Genomic DNA, 17,930 nt, shown 5'->3' with positions numbered 1-17,930 from the left:
TCTGTCCCTGTGAACCCTGGCCTCAGCCTTGACCTTGGCCCCGCCCCAGATCCCACCTCTGCACCCAGCACCTCCCATGTCACCACCAGGGGTCGCCATGCCTCCTGGCCTTGCCCAGCAGATCAGGGCACAGGGGGACCCAGAGGCACCCAGCCCTGCACGCCTTCCCCTGGCTCTGGGCTCTGCCTTGCCCCTCCCAGGAGGCTGCCACTCCAGCCCCACTCCTGATGTGGCAGGAGCTACGTGGGGCTGCCAGGGGAGGGAGGGATGGTCCTTGGAGCCCAGCTGACCCTGCCTGGTTGTCACTTGAGGCCACTCGGGGAAGGCTGAGCCTGAGGCATTCTAGATGTTGCTCTCACCATCCCTAGTGGGGGCTTTTGGGGTGGCCCAGGCCTTGGCCCCTTGGTTTCCACTCTGATCTGGGGTCCCAGCTCCAGCACTTGGAGGGGGGAGGGGTGCTGGAGCAGCGCTGCAGCCGGAATCCCAACCCTCACTGCACAAAGCTTTACACAGGACCAGGGAGCGCCCATTGCCCCCCACACATCTTGTTTCTTGTGAGCTGCTCCCATCGCGCTCCTCCCTGCCCTGCTTCCCAGTGGCGCTGCACAGAGGTGGGTGGGTCCATGGGGAAACCAAGGCTCGGGTTGGGAATCAGGGAACCCTCACCTTGCTAGGTTCCGCAGGCCTCTGGGGTTAGCAAAGGTCCCCCAGCCCTGCTCTGTGGCCCCTTCTGAGTGGGGGAGATCTGGGTACTGGGAACAGAGCAGAAGCTTTGTCCCGAGGGACCCTGGGGTCCTGGCTGCCCACGGACAGCTGGGGCAGCAGGCTGGTAAGAGACCAGGAGGGCGAGGCCCTGGAGGAGACAGGGCTGTGGAGACTCGGTGCTGATGCCACCCGGAGAGGCAGATGGGGCCCAGCCTGATGCTTCCTGGACCCGCCCCACCCTGCCCGGGCACAGTCCAGGGCTTCCTGCCCTTCGAACCGCACTTGTGATCAGTATTGACGGTGGTGGGATAATCATTAACCACCACCAGGGGCTGGGTCAACGGCTCAAAAGGCCCTGGGCCCAGGGTGTCCCCACTTCCTCCTTGTGCCCCGAAGGCCAGCCCGGCACTCAGGTAAGAGGCTTCCTGAGTGGTAGGACCCCTGCCGCCCTCCCTGTCCTAGGAGGCTCCTGAACCCAGGCACCTCTCTGAAGGGTGGCCAATCCTGAGGAAGAAAGGGACCTGGACAGCCATGGGGTGGCCGGGACGAGCCCCTTCCTCTCTGTGCCTTGGTTTCCACTGTGGGATAAGGGGGCCTTAGCATCAGCGCTCAGAGCTGTGGAGCCAGGATTCCTGATCGGGCGCTGTCTCTGCCAGGCCAGGGCACTTGGACACCACGCTGCAGGAGGCTGGTCTCGCCCAGGCCTCTGTGGGAAGGGCCGCCAGGCTGAGTGGAGGGCCAGCCACCAGCTACGGTGTCTTCCTTCGCAGGTCTGTCCCCCCAGGCAGAAGGATTCCAGCCCAGGGATCCCCCATCCCACCCTGACTGCATCCTGAGAAGGGGGGACGCCACTTCGGGAAGGTTGTTGGGGCAGCACAGGCCCTGGGGCCCTGCTCTGTGACCTTGGGCGGCCCCCTCTGTCTCTCTAGGCCTGTATGCACCACTGGCAAAGGGGGCAGGGCCCAAGTCTACTCTAAAAGCTCCCCTTTCTCTCCAGAAGCTTTGGAGTCTCCCAAAATGCCTGCTGGGTCTCTGCAGGACTGGCACCTGTCACCGGAACCTGTCTGGGAGGGACGAGAACACGCTTTGCAAGAGGAAGCTCTGCCTCACAGAGCCCTGGGCTCACTCAGGGACCCTGGCCAGCAGCTGCTTCCTCTCCCCACAGCGGAGAGAGACCCAAGGGTCCCAGGGCGGATGCTTCCCACCAGGCCAGCCCAGCGTGCAGGGTGGCCTCGTAAGTCCTGATTGACATATGGACAGTGGTTCAGAGAGGTTACGCTACTTGCTCAAGGTCACCCAGCTCCCAGGCCCCTGCTGTCTTCCAGGCCACTGAGGTCCTAAGCGTCCTTCCAGGCGAGCCACTGCTCACAGCCTGTTCCTCATGTTCTGCGGCAGGTTTGTGTATCTACATCTTTTCCAGTTCCCTGTCGTCCCCCTTCCTACACCTCGTCATCCACTATCCCTGTTTGTTTTCTCTGTTCCTTTCTAGTTCTCTACCTGCTCCTCTTATTTTTATTTGAGACAGGGTCTTTCTTTGTCACTGAGGCTGGAGTGCAGTGGCACAATCCCAGCTCACTGGAGCCTCGACCTCCCAGGCTCAAGTGATCCCCCGCCTCAGCCTCTTGAGTAGCTGGGACCACAGGCATGCATCACCACACCAGGCTAATTTTTTATTTTTTGTAGAGATGGGGTCTCACTGTGTTGCCCAGGCTGGTCTTGCACTCCTGGGCTCAAGAGATCCTCCCACCTTGGTCTCCCAAAGTGCTGGGATGCCAGGTGTGCACCGCCATCCTCGGCCTTACTCTTCTCTTCCTCTCTCAGCCCCTCTGCCTCACTATCCCTCTTTCTGTGCCCTCCCCCACACAGCCCCCCACACTTCTTCTTAGTCTCATCTTCAGCTTCCCATACGAGGCCATCCTCATGAAATCAGGCACTGGGAGGTCCCTGGGGACTGACAAGTGCCAGCTGTCCCTTGCTGTCTCTCTGCCCCATGGCTGCAGCAGGGAGGGTGGGCAAAGGGCAGAGGTGACAGTGGCCAAACCTGAAACTGAGGCCCAGCTCTGGTTGGGAAAGAAACAAGGAAACAAAATAACTTGGGGACAGAGGGCGTGGGGTCATCAGAGCGGGCAAAGGCTGCCCAGGAGTTGTAAATCCGAGCCGCTCCCGGCTTTATGAGGCCGATTTGGGGTTGAGCCTGGACTTTGCCCAGGAAGGAGTGCTGGCAGCACACGGGGCGCCAGGTGTGGGCCCCGGATGATAAGAAGCCTCGGTGAAAAGACCATGGACCTGGGGCCACGAAGACTGGGGAGCCCAGGTGAGTGGGCATGGGACACTCTCCAGAGCCCTGCCGAAGGCGGACGCCAGGCAGGGCCCCGGTCTCCAATTGGTTCCCGCCCCCTGTAACAGCAACTCCATGTGGAAGTGCCCACTGGTTCCAGTGGGGCTGCTGTTATCTGGGGCGAGGGCCAGTACCCACGAAGAAGGAGAGGCAGGTGCTGGCCAGCAGACCAGCCAGGACTACCGTGGCGACGCTCCCAGGCCAGATGGTGGCGGGTAGTGGAGGGCTGTCGGTGGGCTGCCGAGACCGAGTGCACAGGGCTCTGACCTATGAATTGACAGCCAGTGCTCTCGTCTCCCCTCTGGCTGCCAATTCCATAGGTCACAGGTATGTTCGCCTCAATGCCAGCCACCAGGACCTGCAGGGATAGGGGAGGGCCGGGGGTGTCCAGCAGTCAGCAGAGATCCTGCGACCCCAGTGCAGCACTCATGGTCCCACCTCCCTCTGTCTCATTCCCCGTGAATGAGCCTGAACAGCTTCAGTCCTGCCCCTGCCCTGCCTGCCCTGTGGCACCTCTATGCTTTGCCCATGCTGTTCCCTTGGGCTGCAATACTCTTCCTAGCTTATTTGCCAGGCTCACTCTTACTAACCCTTTCAAGCTCTGTCCAAGCATTTGCTGCCTCCAGAAGGCCTTATTGAAGCTTCTAAGTCCCCACCTGGGCACCCCCACACAGTGCTGCCGCAGAGCACTGCCCTCTCGGAGCCCCGGTGCTGGTTTCTGCTTATGTCTCGCTCCTCTCCCCATCTGTGAGCTCAGTTCCCAGCCCAGGCGCGTGCCCAATAAATGTTTGCTGAACCAATCCTGAGCCTCTGTCTTGCACCCTGAGGAAGCACCCACCGACATGCAGTGTGGCCAAGGGGGGCTGAGTGCTCTAGGCCCAGTGTTTGTGCTGGAGCCCCCCCACCCAGGATGGGGCCCTGAGCCAGCCTCCCCATCTGCTTCCTACTCTCCCCTCCTTTGCCAGTCTCATCTCCCTGGAGCACAGCCCTGTGGTTGGTGGAGCAGCTTCTCCAGCCCCTAGGATTCCTAAGAGGGCCCAGGACCCCAGCTGCTGGTAGAGGAAGAGCAGCCAACCCAGGACAGGACAGCTGACCCCACCCCTGTCCCGCCTCCCACAACAGCCTCATTTCCACCTATTTCTTTGTGGTGTTTGTTTGTTTGTTTTGAGACAGAGTCTTGCTCTGTTGCCCAGGCTGGAATGCAACAGGCTTCCTCCCAGGAGGAAGCCTCCCCTCCTGGCATGATCTCAGCTCACTGCAACCTCTGCCTCCTGGGTTCAAGCGATTCTCCTGCCTCAGCCTCCCAAATAGCTGAGATTACAGGCATGCACCACCATGCCCAGCTAATTTTTGTGTTTTTAGTAGAGACTGGGTTTCACCATGTTGGCCAGGCTGGTCTCGAACTCCTGACCTCAGATAATCTGCCCACCTCGGCCTCCCAGAGTGCCGGGATTATAGGTGTGAGCCACCGCGCCCAGCCCCACCTGTTTCTTATACAACGGGGTTCTGAGGAAATTTTCCTTTTTTTTTTTTTTTTTTTTTGAGACAGGGTCTTGCTCGCTTTGTCACCCAGGCTGGAGCGCAGTGGTACAATCACAGCTTGCTGCAGCCTCCACCTGCCAGGGCTCACACAGTCCTCCCATCTCAGCCTCCCAAATAGCTGTGACTACAGGCACGTGCCACCATGCCTGGTTAATTTTTGTATTTTTCGTAGAGATGGGGTTTCACCATGTTGCCCAGGCTGGTCTCAAATTCCTGGCCTCAAGCAGTCCTGCCTCAGCCCCCCAAACTGCTGGGATTACAGGCATGAGCCACTGTGCCCTGTCAGAATTTTTCATTTGAATAAAAAGGTTTCTGGTACTACAAAATAAAATTTGTAAAATGGGAAATAGAGACCTAGGAATAAATGTCAAATTGCTTAATAACAGGCGTTGGCTATTGAGCCCTTTCTGTCTGCTGGGCACGCACATCCAGGACCTGGTCCTCCTGGCATCCATCATGAACCTGTTTGGGACAGGAGGACACAGGCTCAGAGAGGGTGCACATTTGCTGAAGTCACAGAGCAAGTTGGACCTTCTCCTGGGGACTGTAGGCAGCCAACAAACATCTGGCCCCTAAGACACTGTCTCTCTCCCCTTCCCACAGGCAGCTCTGCTCACACTGTCCTGGCTGCTCTGAATCCCTGGGCCCCGATTGGCCCCTGCCGTGGCCCAGCTCAGCAACCCCTCCCTGCAGACCATCCCATGACTCTGCAGGCGCTGCTCCCCTCTCTGCCCACACCCCGGCTTCGTGGGCCTCTCCCGCCACCCTTATCTCATTCCCTACAGAGTTAAGGAGCCCTGTGTGCTTATCTAATCCTGTGCTAGTTTCAGACTCCTTGAGGGCAAGGTCCATGACTTACTCATCCTCCCTGGCTGCTTCCCCCACCCACCAGCATAGTAGGTGTTCAGGATACATGGGCTGGATGGTAGGGCCCTGGACTCTAACCCTCTTGGGGCTGTCAGGCCTCAGACTCAGAGCACTGGCATAGGGTGAAAGGGGAGCAGACAGCAGCCACCCTGCCCTGGGGGTCCTCCTGCATCTGCCTCTGCAGAGCACTGCGATCCCACAAAGGCCTGCGAGGGCTATTGGAGACCTGTTCCAATGCATGAGCAAGGCGGATCCAGCACCCTCCCCCAGCTCCTTGAGCCCACTGACCTGTGTCCTTTACCCAGCAGGCCCTGGGCCCATGCACATTTCCCTGGCCTGGGTCTCACCTCCAACCCCTCTCAGAACTCCTCAAGACCTGCCCAAGGGTCACTCCCTCGCGGACACCTGCCTGGCCCCCCGCCCCGCCCCCCATTACCCCACTCACTGGCTCCCTGGATGCTCTGTGGCTGGGATGTTAGCGCCCCCATCATGCCCCATCACCCACACCGGGCTATTTCCCCCACCAGCCTGAAAGCCCCCAGGAGTGGCGGCCACTGACTTTTTTCCTGTAGCCTCAGACTCAAAGGAGGCACTTAATAAATGCACACAGAAGGACTGACCTTGTGCATGAGCAAAGTTGCTTAGGGAGGGAGCCTAGACACAGTGGGGCGGTCAGCACAGAGCTGGCGGTGGGAGGCCTCAGTAGTATTGTCTTTGTCCCATCGTCCACACCACACGTGTGTGAAACGCTACGCTGACAGAGGCCCTGAGAGGTTGTGCAGATTGACCGTACGCCAGCCTCAGAGAGAGAAGGCCCAGGCGGGGAGGAGTAAAGCCTCCCTGGGAGAGGTGAGTGTGAGGTCGGCGTTTGCTGAGGTGAACCCCAGAAACAGGTCGTGATCACTGGAGGAGGAAGGAATGCCAGGGGCAAAGATGCAGAAACCGGACGGAGGCGCGGGGCGGGCGGGGACAGCTTCCTCTTCTGCAAGGCTTACTCCCGGTGGCCACCACTAGGGGGCGCCCCGGGCACCCCTCCCAAGCGGGGCGGGGCCAACCCTCCCCACCGCGCGGCTCCCAAGGCCTGGGGGAGCAGCCCCTGGGTTCGCCTTCCCCGGGCCGCCTAGAACTGCGCCTGGCCTGGCCAGGACACTGTCCTGGGCCTAGGGCACAGCCCAGGTGCCAGCGTCCTACACACAGTTGCGGGTCCCAGGCGCGCACTGCCTTACCCAAGGTGGCCCTGGTGGGGCTCTTCCCGCTGTGGTGTGTATAAAACATCACTGTATAATGTATATTCATAGAATTCACAATGAGTCCCCATGTAACAACCTGCAGAGCCCCCAAATATGCCCTTCCAGGTCCCCCCCGCCCATGGTCAGCACAGTTCTGAGTGTTAAGGTAATCACTTCCTCTCCTTTCTCTGGGATTTACTACCCCGTACACTTTCCCAAACAGTCTGCGAGCATTTTGTCTGGCTTTCTTGTTATTAATGTAAATGGAATCACGGTGCCGTGTCTGGCTGAGTCTCATGCAGTTGATGGAGCCGAAGCTTCTTCACTCTTGTTCACTGCTGTATAGTGAAGAGAACACTTGGGGTTATTATGAGCGCTGTTATTATGAGCACTGTTGGGATTATAATGAGTATTGTAATGCACAGATTCTACTGCAGGGTGCTTCTCCAGCAGGGGCTGTCAGGTCATGGAGTGGTGGACCTAACACTGGACCAGGCCACATGGTGTGCCTAATAAAGGACAGCTGGGTACAGGCCTTTTTTTGATTTTGTTTTTCTTTTTTTTTTTGAGACGGAGTCTCATTCTGTTGCCCAGGAATGCAGTGGCTTGATCTCAGCTCACTGCAAGCTCTGCCTCCCGGGTTCAAACGATTCTCCCGCCTCAGCCTCCCGAGTAGCGGGGATTACAGGCACCCACCACCATGCCCAGCTAATTTTTGTATTTTAGTAGAGATGGGGTTTCACCATGTTGGCCAGGCTGGTCTTGAGCTCCTAATCCCAGGGGATCTGCCCACCTCGGCCTCTCAAAGTTCTGAGATTACAGGCGTGAGCCACCGTGCCCGGCTGTCTTTCTGTTTTTCTTTTTGACAATGATGACAGCTTCAGAAAAGTTGCAAGAAAAGTACGAACAACATCCATATACTGTTTATTTTGATTCATTGACAGTTAACACTTTGCAATTATATATATATACACATATTTATATATATACATATATATACACATATTTATATATATACATATATATACACATATTTATATATATACATATATATACACATATTTATATATATATACATATATATATATACACATATTTATATATATATACATATATATACACATATTTATATATATATATACATATATATACATATTTATATATATATATATACACATATATATATATTTTTTGAGACGGAGTTTCTCTCTTATTGCCCAGGCTGGAGTGCAATAGCGCTCACTGCAACCTCCGCCTCCCAGGTTCAAGCAATTCTCCTGCCTCAGCCTCCCGAGTAGCTGGGATTACAGGCATGCGCCACCACACCTGGCTAATTTTTGTATTTTTAGTAGAGACGGGGTTTCTCCATGTTGGTCAGGGTGTTCTCGAACTCCCGACCTCAGGTGATCTGCCCGCCTCGGCCTCCCAAAGTGCTGGGATTACAGGCATGAGCCACCATACCCGGCCTGCAATAATATTTGCTCCCTTTTCTCTCTCTCTCTCTGTCTGGCACCCACATACACACATACACACACACATATTTTCTGAACCACGGGAGAGTAAGTTACATAAGTCCTAGCCCTTTACCCTTAAATATTTCAACATGTATCTCCTAAGAAAAATGACATTTCTTACGCAACCACAAGACAAGTACCAAATTCAGGCCTGATGACAGTGATGCAATGCTATTATCTAACGTACAGTCCACTTTCAAATGTCTCTGATTGTCCCAGTCTGCCAGGACCACGCTTCACATCTGGTGTCAGCTCTCCTCAGTCTTCTTTAATCCAGAACCATCCTCAGCCTTTCTTTGTTTTTCAAGACCTTGATATTTTTGAAGAGTCTAGATCAGTTGTTTTGTAGAGTGTTTCTCATCTTTTTCTCTCCATTTCCCCCCAATTAAACAAGTCAAGTACATCCATTATATACATTTGGACAACATAGAAAAGTAAATAAAAATTGCCCCAGTTCCTACGATGCAGGGATAACCCCGTAGACACTTCCTGTAATCACTGAGTAAGCTGACTCACTTGTTCTACGCACTCTGTGCACATGAACTCATGTCATCCTAGGAGGCGGGTGCTTTTGTTATCTCTTGAGTGCCTTGCTAAAGATCATATGGTCTGTAGGATTTGATCCTGAACAGTCTGCTCCAAAGCCCATGCACTTGGCCTTTATGCTATACTGCTTCTCAATAATGGCCAGCCACGTGCGTGTGGCGTGCGCGCGCTCATCAGGATGCCTCAGCTTCTGCCCTATTGGCATTTCGGGCAGGGTAATTCTCTGCTGTGGGAGTGCCCTGTGTGTTGTAGGATGGTCAGCAGCAGCCTTGTCCTCTGCCTAGTAGATGCCAGCAACAATCCCCAAAATAATCATACCAAGAATGTCCCCGGGGGAGCAAAATCACACCCAGCTGAGAATCACTGTGTGGGGTGTGTGTGTGTATGTGTGTGTGTGTAGCCAGGTGATGCTGTATTCCCTTCTGAAATCTATCCCAGTGATTGGTACTCCATGGTCACTTTTGGGTCCTTCCATTTTCTTCTCTGGTCCCATGTCTAGTGGCTGCCAGGTGTTGCCTGTGAAGGGACTCGTGGATCGACAAAAAGACAAATCTATTGCAGTAGCTACCTTCTACTGCTACACAACAAAGTGCCACAAACTTTGTGGTTTAGAACCGCCCCCATTTATGAGCTCCTGGTTCTGTAGGTTGGAAGTCTGGGCCCAGCATGACTGAGTTCTGTTCTCAGAGTGTCAGATGCTGAAGGAAGGTGGCAGCCAGGCTGCCCTATCACCGGGAGGCAGGGGAAGGAATCTGTCTCCAAGCTCATTCTTGTTGGCAGAATCCGGTTCCTTGCATCCATAGGACTGAGGTCCCCGTTTCCTTGCTGGTGGTCTGCTGGGGCCCCTCTCAGCTCCTAGAGGTCACCCACATTCCTTTCCACATGGTGTCCCCCAGGCTGGAGTGCAGTAGCACAATCATGGCTCGAAGCAGCCTCAACCTCCCTGGCTCAGGTGATCCTCCCACCTCAGCCTCCTGAGTAGCCGGGACTACAGGTGCATGCCACCACACCCAGCTAATATTTTGTATTTTGGGTAGAGATGGGATTTTGCCATGTTACCCAGGCTAGTCTTGAACTCCTGGGCTCAAGTGACCCACCCCCTCAGTCTCCTAAAGTGCTGGGATCACAGGTGTAAGCCACTGTCCAGCCAGCTCTGCTTTCAGAGGGCTCAGTGAGCTGGGGGGCCCACTGGGATTATCTCCCTTTGTACAGTGGACTGCACCATCTAACACCGCATGTCATGGAGTAAGTCACCAGATCCGCATTCCCAGCATTACACTGGATATGTACACCAGGGGTGGGGGATCTTGCAGACATCCTGAAATTCTGCTTAATGATGACCAAAGGGCAAGAGAGGTGTTTCTGGGACAGGACATGGAGCCAAGGGGCAGGGGACCAGGTTGGGTGAGCAGGAGACGGAGGCCTGACCCCACCTCTGAGAGGGTCCCACTATATTCCTGCCCTCGGGGACACCCCAACATGTACCTCTAGGAGCAAGCATGGTGCCTGGGCAGACGTGGGCCTCAGGGGAGGGTTCTGGTCTCCAGTCTCCTTGCAGATGGAGCGTCACCATGTTCTGTACTTAAGGGCACAGTAAAGAAGCTGCAGGTGAGAGGAATGTGGCAGCTGGGCCACAGGACGGGGAGGGAGACTGAGTGTCGGCAGACAGGCGGGCTGGGGGACCACCATGTACCACCCCAAGTGACCTACAAAGAGACTTTAATTTGGGGGGATGGAGGAGGGAGGTGTTCGCCCAGCAGAGGGGACAGGAGGGTGGCCTTGGGCACGATGTTTGACTCCTGAGGTGTGGGAGTGAGGAGCTGGGCTTGTTGAAGATGGGCTGGGCTCTGTGCCCTGGTGGCTGAGTGTGACACAGAGTTGGGGACAGAATTACCCTCCAGCCCCCCAGCCTGTGAGCCCATGGTGAGGCTCAGGGCCACAGCAGGGCAAGGCCAAGGCAAGGGAGAGGCAGCTGGAGCAGAACTTGGGCAGGCTCGTTCTTGCACACACGAGACACACTTCAGAGCCCCCGGAAATGCAGAGGGGCCGTGTGCACGGCAGCAGTCTGCACTCATACAAGGGAGGCTAAGACCATGCACCTCACTTGTACTCTCAGGCTGCTGAGGCTGGGGGACAATGGGGTTACACTCTCCATTTCATTAGTGTAGGGCAAGGGGGACCCCAGCACCCCACAAGGGACCCCCTAATGTTGTCACCACAGAAGGCGATTGCTTATGTGCCAAATAATAAGCCATTTCCTGTGGAGTCAGGCAAAGGCCTGGGCCCTCCAATAAGTTTAGGGCAAACCCTGCACCCTGCACTCAGCGGCAGCCCCAGCCTCATCAGCCCCAGCAAGGCAGGGCCAGAAGCTGCAGGGACTGAGACACACACACAGAAAACTGGCAGGTGAACTAGAGCTTTTACTGAAAGTGCTCAGAGACCTATAAGTCTCAGCTCTGCAAAGCACTGTGCAGTTATATGTGTACATCATCCTGATAAATGTGTAAGCCTGTCCCCCAGGCTGCAGAGCAGCAAAGGGGCTAGGAAGGGCTGGTGAGCTTCAGGGCAGAGATTCACTTCAGCCTGCATCTGGGGAAGAGGCTCTTGAAACCCTCTTTCTCTGCTTTTCCACCTGCCCGTCCTTGCAACTTCAAGTGGCTGGAGTGTGGAAAGGGCAGTGTTAAGATTCAGAAGGCCCTGGCCAGGCGTGGTGGCTCACACTTGTAATTCCAGCACTCTGGGAGGCCGAGGCAGGCAGATCACAAGGTCAGGAGATCAAGACCATCCTGGCTAACATGGTGAAACCCCATCTCTACTAAAAATAGAAAAAATTAGCCGACGGGCATGGTGGTACACGCCTGTAGTCCCAGCTACTCGGGAGGCTGAGGCAGGAGAATCACTTGAACCCGGGAGGTGGAGGTTGCAGTGAGCCAAGATCACGCCACTGCACTCCAGCCTGGGCAACAGAGGGAGACTCCCTCTCAAAAAAAAAAGACTCCGAAGGCCCAGATTCTCATTCAGTCTGGGCTACTTCGAGCAGTCACTGGACATCCCGGGCCTCAGGCTCTTTCTCACTGGAATTTGAAAGCAGCTAAGATTCTGACACGGTCACCTCCAAATTGGGCCATGTTCTGGCTGCCAGATGCCTTCAGAGCCCTCTGGGGCCCAGCAATCTCCCCAGAGCCATCACCCAAGGGCCACAGCTGCTGCAAGAGAAAGGCCTCATGGTGTGGAGAGGACACTCTTCTTGCCAGTGTGGGAGACCCGGCATTCAAAAGAACAGTCCTCCTCAGTTCCTCACCTTGTGTCGGGAAAACTGATTTGTTGCCCAAATCTCATGACTGTGAGAACAAAAATCTGTGCTGATATGCAAACTCTGTCAGTGGAAAGAATGAACCACTCCTCATCCCAGGGAGAAACCTATGTTTTGGTTTTTCTCAGCTCGATTTTTCTGCCATATTTGGAGAAAAACTCCTTAAAAAAAAAATATCGACTGGGTGCGGTGGCTCATGCCTGTAATCCCAGCATTTTGGGAGGCTGAGGTGGGTGTATTACTTGAGGTCAGGGGTTCGAGACCAGCCTGACCAACATGTATTTTTAGTAGTCTCTACTAAAAATACAAAAAATTAGCCAGGCATGGTGGCAGGCGCCTGTAATCCCACCTACTTGGGAGGCTAAGGCAGGATAATCACTTGAACCCAGGAGGTGGAGGTTGCAGTGAGCTGAGATCGCACCATTGCACTCCAGCTTGGGTGACACAGAGTGAGACTCTGTCTCAAAAAAAAAAAAACACTCTCAAACATAGTTTATTATATAGGTGAATCCTGGTCCCTGTGATGGGCTTATTGGTACGATTTCTGGTAGCAAGCATAGGTACCAGGGCCTCCAACGTTTTTGGATTTGCAGCAACGGGGGTCAGCTACTGACAGGGTCCAGTCATGCTGGATGAGGATGCCTCTGGTCCTTTTGGAAGCCTCATCCATTTATTTCCGGTAATAGGCCACTAAGGCTTTGGAGATGGACTGATGTTGATAGCATAAATCTGGGTCACATGACCACCACCCTTCACACAAACATGCGTGTGCATGTCAGCAAATTGCTCCTTGCCCAGAGGCAGAACTAGGAACTAGTTCCAGCAGCTTGAATTGCAGCGCTCGGCTCCATCATCTCCAGGGGCCATCCATTCACCTTGATGAGGCCACTGCCATGTTTGCAGTGGATTGCACGGACTGCAGCTGGCCCTTGGATGGCATAGCCAAGAGCACAGATAAGAGCTCCTCACTGCACGGCACCGCAAGCGGAAAAGGCACCTCTCTTTTTTTTTTTTTTTTTGAGATGGAGTCTCCTTCTGTTGCCCAGGTTAGAATGCAGTGGTGCGATCTTGGCTCACTGCAACCTCCACCTCACGGGTTCAAGCGATTCTCCTGCCTCAGCCTCCTCAGTAGCTGGGATTACAGGCACACGCCACCATACCTGGCTAATTTTTGTATTTTTAGTAGAGACGGGGTTTTGTGATATTGGCCAGGGTGGTCTTGATCTCAGGTGATCTGCTTGCATCGGCCTCCCAAAGTGCTGGGATTACAGACATGAGCTACTGCACCTGGCCTTTTTTTTTTAAGTTGTCTCTAGGGACCTTGTAGATGTTTTCCTAGATCAGGCCATGACAGGACCAAGCAGACCACTTAGAGGGGAGGTGAGGCCCCTTTCTGCTGGATGAGGGCGTTTCTGAGGAGAGCTAGGGGGTACCTCAAGGCCCTGGGTTTGCAGGGAATGGATTTATTAACTGAAGAATAAAACACTGGGAGTGGGGGATGGCACAGTTTCTGAGATAAAAGAAAAATACTTGAACCCTCCATCAATCTGCCATGGGCTCAGGCAGACAGGCAGAAAGTGAAACAGCGGAGAAACCAAAAGTGAAAGGGTGCATTCACATTTTATACAACTTTCCCACCAAACAAACTGCCCTACTCAGAAAACACAAAAGAAAAAAAAATTAGGACATTTTCGGTGTGGGGCATGACAAGATAAGGAAGCTGCCTGGAAGCTGGGTGCCAACTCCATGAAATTGGGGGAAACTAATTGCTGGTCACGTGGGCCTCACCAGGGTGACAGAGATCCCTTCTTTCAGTCCTTTAAGATCTTTGGAGAAAGTCAAGTGGCCATACATAACGACAGGGTCTGGGTTTTGTTTATAAATAACCCAGGAACATTTTGTTGTTTTCAGTTTTCTAGGGCTGGGTTTTCCCAGCACACAGGGCTCTGGGGAGATTTGAAAACCATGGCGCGTCAATGAGAATGCTGCCGGGGCGCCAGTTTGGAGCAGCCTCATTGAGACGACTGAACAACTACTTCATTCAGGATCCTCAGCCCTGGGCCCTTCCCTAGATCAACCCAGAAACTGCATCTCCGGGGTGGATCCCTAACAGTGCTGAGTAGGAGGCAAACACTGTGGCTTCTAAGGCTGACCCGGGAAGTCTGGACTAGGCCCGCCGGAGGCTCCTCGTCACCAATTGGCATGCAGCCTCTGGTGACAGCTCTGCCTAGGAGCCTCAGTATCTTCTTTTGAGAATAACACCAAAAAAAAAAAAAAAAAAAAAAAAGGGGGGGGGCAGTAGCTTGTGTGCTTTACTATGATGAAAAGAATCAAATCAAAGCACTAAGGGGCGTAAGATTGCAGGCAGGGTTGGAATTACTTATCCGCTCTCCAATGGTTAGGGAGCAAGAGGGGAGGGCAAGGGAACTATCTATTCCCTCGGAAGGGATCTTACAAGCGGTAGGCGAACAAACCTCCCATCGTGTCCTCTCTAGATTCCACCACTCAGTTCCCCTGAGATATCCCCCGTTCTCAGATTTGAGTTCCTGCCTCTTCCTCTTAGCCTACCAGCCCAAGTTATCCCCTGATACAGGCCCCTAGCCCTCCAGGCTTCCACATCTCCCAGAAGCGAGGAAGTTGGACCTGAGGCTTTCAAAGTCGCAGGTTCAATTCAGATCTCTTTAAGAGCCCCCAGGGTCCTGCTACCACAGGTTGGTGTCTTGATACTGGTTACATAACAATCAGTCCCCAAAGCTCTGACATCACCCACTGAAGATTCTCACCAGCCTGGACAGCCAAAGGGGTCTGTGTGTGGCCGGGGAGGATGGCGGGGGAGTGAGCCCCATGGAACAGCCAGGAACTGGTAAGGGGAGGTAGGGCACAGATCCCAGTAAATGATGGTAAATGGTGGTGACCCCGAGAGGAAAGTGGAAGTATTTGGGTTTTTAAACTTCCCCCTAAATTCCCACAAGATTTCATTGTTGCCCCCACACTTCCCCTCTTCCCCACATAGGGAATTTCCGATTTCACTTCCCAATACGCAAGTGGCCAGAGAGCCTCAACTTCCTCCTCATGCCCTCCCTGCCTTGCCCCAGCTATAGCCTTTGTGGGGAAGCCTTCTCTTCTCCCGCGCGAGTCCGGTGTCACCCATGTCCTCCCTCGCTTGCGTCCCTCTCCCATTCCCACCCCGTCGGCCTGAGGGGAGGTCAGGCCTCTCGCTGCCCATTTTTCTTTCCCCAGTCACCAGCCCGCCCCGGATTCTCTACTCCCTCAGCTTGCTCTGCTACCACTTTCCTGTCTCTCCCTCTCCCAAAGCAGATAAAAGATGAGGGGACAAAGACAGTGTGTGTCTGGGAAGCTGGGCTGAGAGGAGGAGGTGCCGCCGCCTGGGGGTACTCCGATGCTTCCGGGGATTCCGAGCCAGCTGGAGGACCGCACGTGGCGAACGGCGGGCGCGGCGCGTAGTCAGGGAACCAGGGTGCCTGACTGGGTGTCTCGTGGAGCCATCCCGCGGGGGTGTGGGGGGGCCACGGTGCCGGAAGGCGCGCGGCCCAGAGGCCGTCTCCGCCGAACGCCCGCTCCTCGCCTTCCTAACCGCAGCACTTTCGCGAGCCTCCCTACGAGGGGCGGGGCGAAACAGGTGCGGTTGCCACGGCACCCGGACCACAGCCTCGCGAGATTTGGAATCAGCCAATGGGGGCGGGGTAGGGGAAGACGTGGCACCAGTCGGAGGGGCGGGGCTGGGAGGGGCTCCTCCCTACCGCCCCCAATTCCGCCCTGCCCCCGCCGCGGCGGCGCTAGCCGCCACTGAGGGACCGACCCTATAAAGGCCGCTCCGCGAGGGGTGCGCAGCATTCGGCAGAGGGCGCTTCGACGGGCTGGGCTGTGCGCCTGCGCAGTGTGGGTCGCTCCCGATTCCCTGCCCCGGCCGGCCCCGCCTCGGCTCCGCACCCTCGCCCCGCTCTCAGCCGCCGCTCTGCCCCGCAGCAGCCAGCCCCGTGTCCGGCAGTATGTTCAGCTGGGTCAGCAAGGATGCCCGCCGCAAGAAGGAGCCGGAGCTCTTCCAGACGGTGGCTGAGGGGCTGCGGCAGCTGTACGCGCAGAAGCTGCTACCCCTGGAGGAGCACTACCGCTTCCACGAGTTCCACTCGCCCGCGCTGGAGGACGCTGACTTCGACAACAAGCCTATGGTGCTCCTCGTGGGGCAGTACAGCACGGGCAAGACCACCTTCATCCGACACCTGATCGAGCAGGACTTCCCGGGGATGCGCATCGGGCCCGAGCCCACCACCGACTCCTTCATCGCCGTCATGCACGGCCCCACTGAGGGCGTGGTGCCGGGCAACGCGCTCGTGGTGGACCCGCGGCGCCCCTTCCGCAAGCTCAACGCGTTTGGCAACGCTTTCCTCAACAGGTACCCACCCATCACTCCAGGGGGCGGGGGGCGCGTCCGGGGCACACCCCTCACTCGGAGCCTGACCCTCCCGTGGCTGTCGCCCCGCCGTCCTTTGTCTCCGAGGCCCCAGTGAGACCCTCAGTGACCACTCCCTGGTCCAAGGGCCCTGCCCCTTCCCAGAGTAAACCCACTGGGGGTCTAAGAGTGGGCGTTGTCGGCTCCCCCAGCTTCTGTCCTCCCCAGAATCTTCCAGGGTAACCACCAAGCCCTCCTGCAGATCCCAGCCCCACTCCCCTCAGCAGCAGGGCCGCAGTAGGAAGCTGAGCCATTCCTGCGCTCCTTTTCTTGGTCTCCACCTCCGTCCCGCAGGCTGGATGCACCTAATTCACGGAAATCAACCCTCCCCTCCCTGTCTTCTTAAGTGTCAATAGCAAAACACAATGAAACTTTTAGCCATTCCCTTCTCTGGTGCGGTGTGGGTCTGCTCTGCCTCCCCTGGGACGGTGGTTTTGTGTAGGAGGGAGGAGGAGGATCGGCTGTGGCTTGCTGACTTTGGGGCAGCCCCTTGGAGGCAGGGGACAGTTGAGGTTCGAACACTTCTCCCAATGGCAGCTCTCAAGAGGTCAGTGCTGCCCTGAGGGGTTTCAGGAAGCAGGATGAGGTGGTGGCAGTGGGAGCCCTGCAATGAGATTCTGGCCCTAAGCCCTTCTGTGCACTGAGGGACAGAATCTGAGGTTCCTTCACCCACTTGGACCTCACTTTTCCAGTTAAGTGGCCTCTGCACGCGAGGAGAGTGAGCTCCAGGACTCTGCCTGTCTCAGTGCTGTGAATGAAACACAGTGCTCCCGCCCCTCAAGGAGTGCAATGCCCAAGCTCACTTTTCTCCAGAGAAACTCGAGACATGCCCGTCCCAACCCCCAGGCGACATACCAAAGTACTTCACAGACCCTGTCCTCCCTGCCACCCCACGTTCACGGACTCCACATGCCTTTCATAATTCTGCACCAGCGAAGAGCCTCTGAAGGAATCTTTGAATCCTGCCTTCCAGGTCCCCGCCCTGCACGGTCACATTCCTTTCCAGACGCCATCCAGCTGTGCAGGGCAGCTTGCCCTAGAGCCAAGCTGGTGGCCAGGCCTACTCCAGGCACAGAGCTGACCTTCAGCAGGGTCTGTTCACTTCCAGGCATTTCAGCCCGCCCTCCTGTTTTACGGCTGTTGATGTTTGTCTGTCAAGGCCAGGTTGAGTGCAGCCCTTTGGGCTAAGGGTCCTGAAGAGGCGGAGTCCTCTTCACTTTCCTTGTGAGGGCACACCTTTTTTGAAAGGAGAGACATGGCACAGGACCAGTTTTCTGAATTTGGAAGCCTAGAGTTTCAGAGCTGGAAGGATCTTAGACATCATCTTGGCAGCCCCCACCTGACTGGTTCAGGAAACCGAGGTTCAGAGGGTCTGGCTGATGTGTGGAAGTCACCCATTAGGTCA

The 17,930-nt window shown here is 55.6% G+C and overlaps 1 protein-coding gene, 1 long non-coding RNA gene, 3 other non-coding genes and 1 pseudogene across 9 annotated transcripts in view, besides 12 other annotated features; 5 read left to right on the top strand and 1 right to left on the bottom strand.

The window, feature by feature from the left end:
* The first annotated feature begins 1,079 nt into the window (after positions 1-1,079).
* On the top strand, positions 1,080-6,071 carry MIR194-2HG (MIR194-2 host gene). 3 transcript variants are annotated; one of them, NR_133640.1, is made up of 3 exons: positions 1,080-1,118; positions 1,703-1,939; positions 5,189-6,071. It is a non-coding gene; the product is annotated as an MIR194-2 host gene (long non-coding RNA). The 3 variants fall into 3 exon arrangements; NR_133639.1 differs by having other exon boundaries at positions 1,703-2,100; NR_133638.1 differs by lacking the exon at positions 5,189-6,071 and having other exon boundaries at positions 1,362-3,843.
* On the top strand, positions 3,090-3,174 carry MIR194-2 (microRNA 194-2). Its single transcript, NR_029829.1, has one exon. It is a non-coding gene; the product is annotated as a microRNA 194-2 (primary transcript).
* MIR192 (microRNA 192) lies at positions 3,283-3,392 on the top strand. The gene has a single exon (NR_029578.1). It is a non-coding gene; the product is annotated as a microRNA 192 (primary transcript).
* Positions 6,374-6,733: a silencer, noted in NCBI's record as "silent region_3500". NCBI's record gives its function as "represses an Ori minimal core promoter by ATAC-STARR-seq in GM12878 lymphoblastoid cells {active_cell/tissue: GM12878}" and the evidence as "EXISTENCE:reporter gene assay evidence [ECO:0000049][PMID:35858748]".
* Positions 6,374-7,137: a biological region, named in NCBI's record as "H3K4me1 hESC enhancer GRCh37_chr11:64654864-64655434".
* Positions 6,567-7,137: an enhancer, noted in NCBI's record as "H3K4me1 hESC enhancer chr11:64654864-64655434 (GRCh37/hg19 assembly coordinates)". NCBI's record gives its function as "activates a minimal SCP1, AML or CMV promoter by ChIP-STARR-seq in naive H9 embryonic stem cells {active_cell/tissue: H9 hESC(naive)}" and the evidence as "EXISTENCE:reporter gene assay evidence [ECO:0000049][PMID:30033119]".
* Positions 10,637-11,138: an enhancer, noted in NCBI's record as "H3K4me1 hESC enhancer chr11:64650863-64651364 (GRCh37/hg19 assembly coordinates)". NCBI's record gives its function as "activates a minimal SCP1, AML or CMV promoter by ChIP-STARR-seq in primed H9 embryonic stem cells {active_cell/tissue: H9 hESC(primed)}" and the evidence as "EXISTENCE:reporter gene assay evidence [ECO:0000049][PMID:30033119]".
* RPS16P6 (ribosomal protein S16 pseudogene 6) lies at positions 12,584-12,994 on the bottom strand (annotated as a pseudogene).
* Positions 13,390-13,479: an enhancer, noted in NCBI's record as "active region_4932". NCBI's record gives its function as "activates an Ori minimal core promoter by ATAC-STARR-seq in GM12878 lymphoblastoid cells {active_cell/tissue: GM12878}" and the evidence as "EXISTENCE:reporter gene assay evidence [ECO:0000049][PMID:35858748]".
* Positions 13,540-13,589: an enhancer, noted in NCBI's record as "active region_4931". NCBI's record gives its function as "activates an Ori minimal core promoter by ATAC-STARR-seq in GM12878 lymphoblastoid cells {active_cell/tissue: GM12878}" and the evidence as "EXISTENCE:reporter gene assay evidence [ECO:0000049][PMID:35858748]".
* Positions 13,760-13,909: an enhancer, noted in NCBI's record as "active region_4930". NCBI's record gives its function as "activates an Ori minimal core promoter by ATAC-STARR-seq in GM12878 lymphoblastoid cells {active_cell/tissue: GM12878}" and the evidence as "EXISTENCE:reporter gene assay evidence [ECO:0000049][PMID:35858748]".
* The window catches only part of EHD1 (EH domain containing 1), a 28,052-nt gene continuing 24,957 nt past the window's right edge, over positions 14,836-17,930 (top strand). The window contains exons 1-3 of one of the 3 annotated variants that reach the window (NM_001282444.2): positions 14,836-14,917; positions 15,373-15,694; positions 16,042-16,468. In NM_001282444.2, the coding sequence (NP_001269373.1) occupies positions 16,065-16,468 (404 nt within the window). In that variant the 5' untranslated portion in view covers positions 14,836-14,917; positions 15,373-15,694; positions 16,042-16,064. Of the gene's footprint in view, positions 14,918-15,372; positions 15,695-15,907; positions 16,469-17,930 lie in introns of those variants that run through there. The other 2 variants (NM_001282445.2, NM_006795.4) reach the window with 2 other exon arrangements.
* Positions 15,522-16,081: a silencer, noted in NCBI's record as "silent region_3499". NCBI's record gives its function as "represses an Ori minimal core promoter by ATAC-STARR-seq in GM12878 lymphoblastoid cells {active_cell/tissue: GM12878}" and the evidence as "EXISTENCE:reporter gene assay evidence [ECO:0000049][PMID:35858748]".
* On the top strand, positions 15,920-16,006 carry MIR10392 (microRNA 10392). Its single transcript, NR_162101.1, has one exon. It is a non-coding gene; the product is annotated as a microRNA 10392 (primary transcript).
* Positions 16,102-16,151: a silencer, noted in NCBI's record as "silent region_3498". NCBI's record gives its function as "represses an Ori minimal core promoter by ATAC-STARR-seq in GM12878 lymphoblastoid cells {active_cell/tissue: GM12878}" and the evidence as "EXISTENCE:reporter gene assay evidence [ECO:0000049][PMID:35858748]".
* Positions 16,995-17,771: an enhancer, noted in NCBI's record as "H3K4me1 hESC enhancer chr11:64644230-64645006 (GRCh37/hg19 assembly coordinates)". NCBI's record gives its function as "activates a minimal SCP1, AML or CMV promoter by ChIP-STARR-seq in naive H9 embryonic stem cells {active_cell/tissue: H9 hESC(naive)}" and the evidence as "EXISTENCE:reporter gene assay evidence [ECO:0000049][PMID:30033119]".
* Positions 17,002-17,071: a silencer, noted in NCBI's record as "silent region_3497". NCBI's record gives its function as "represses an Ori minimal core promoter by ATAC-STARR-seq in GM12878 lymphoblastoid cells {active_cell/tissue: GM12878}" and the evidence as "EXISTENCE:reporter gene assay evidence [ECO:0000049][PMID:35858748]".
* Positions 17,232-17,331: an enhancer, noted in NCBI's record as "active region_4929". NCBI's record gives its function as "activates an Ori minimal core promoter by ATAC-STARR-seq in GM12878 lymphoblastoid cells {active_cell/tissue: GM12878}" and the evidence as "EXISTENCE:reporter gene assay evidence [ECO:0000049][PMID:35858748]".

The sequence above is a fragment of the Homo sapiens genome, chromosome 11, assembly GCF_000001405.40.
Source record: "Homo sapiens chromosome 11, GRCh38.p14 Primary Assembly".
Lineage (NCBI taxonomy): Eukaryota > Metazoa > Chordata > Mammalia > Primates > Hominidae > Homo > Homo sapiens.
Note: the sequence above shows the minus strand (reverse complement) of the source record. Positions and strands in the feature narration are given on the sequence as shown.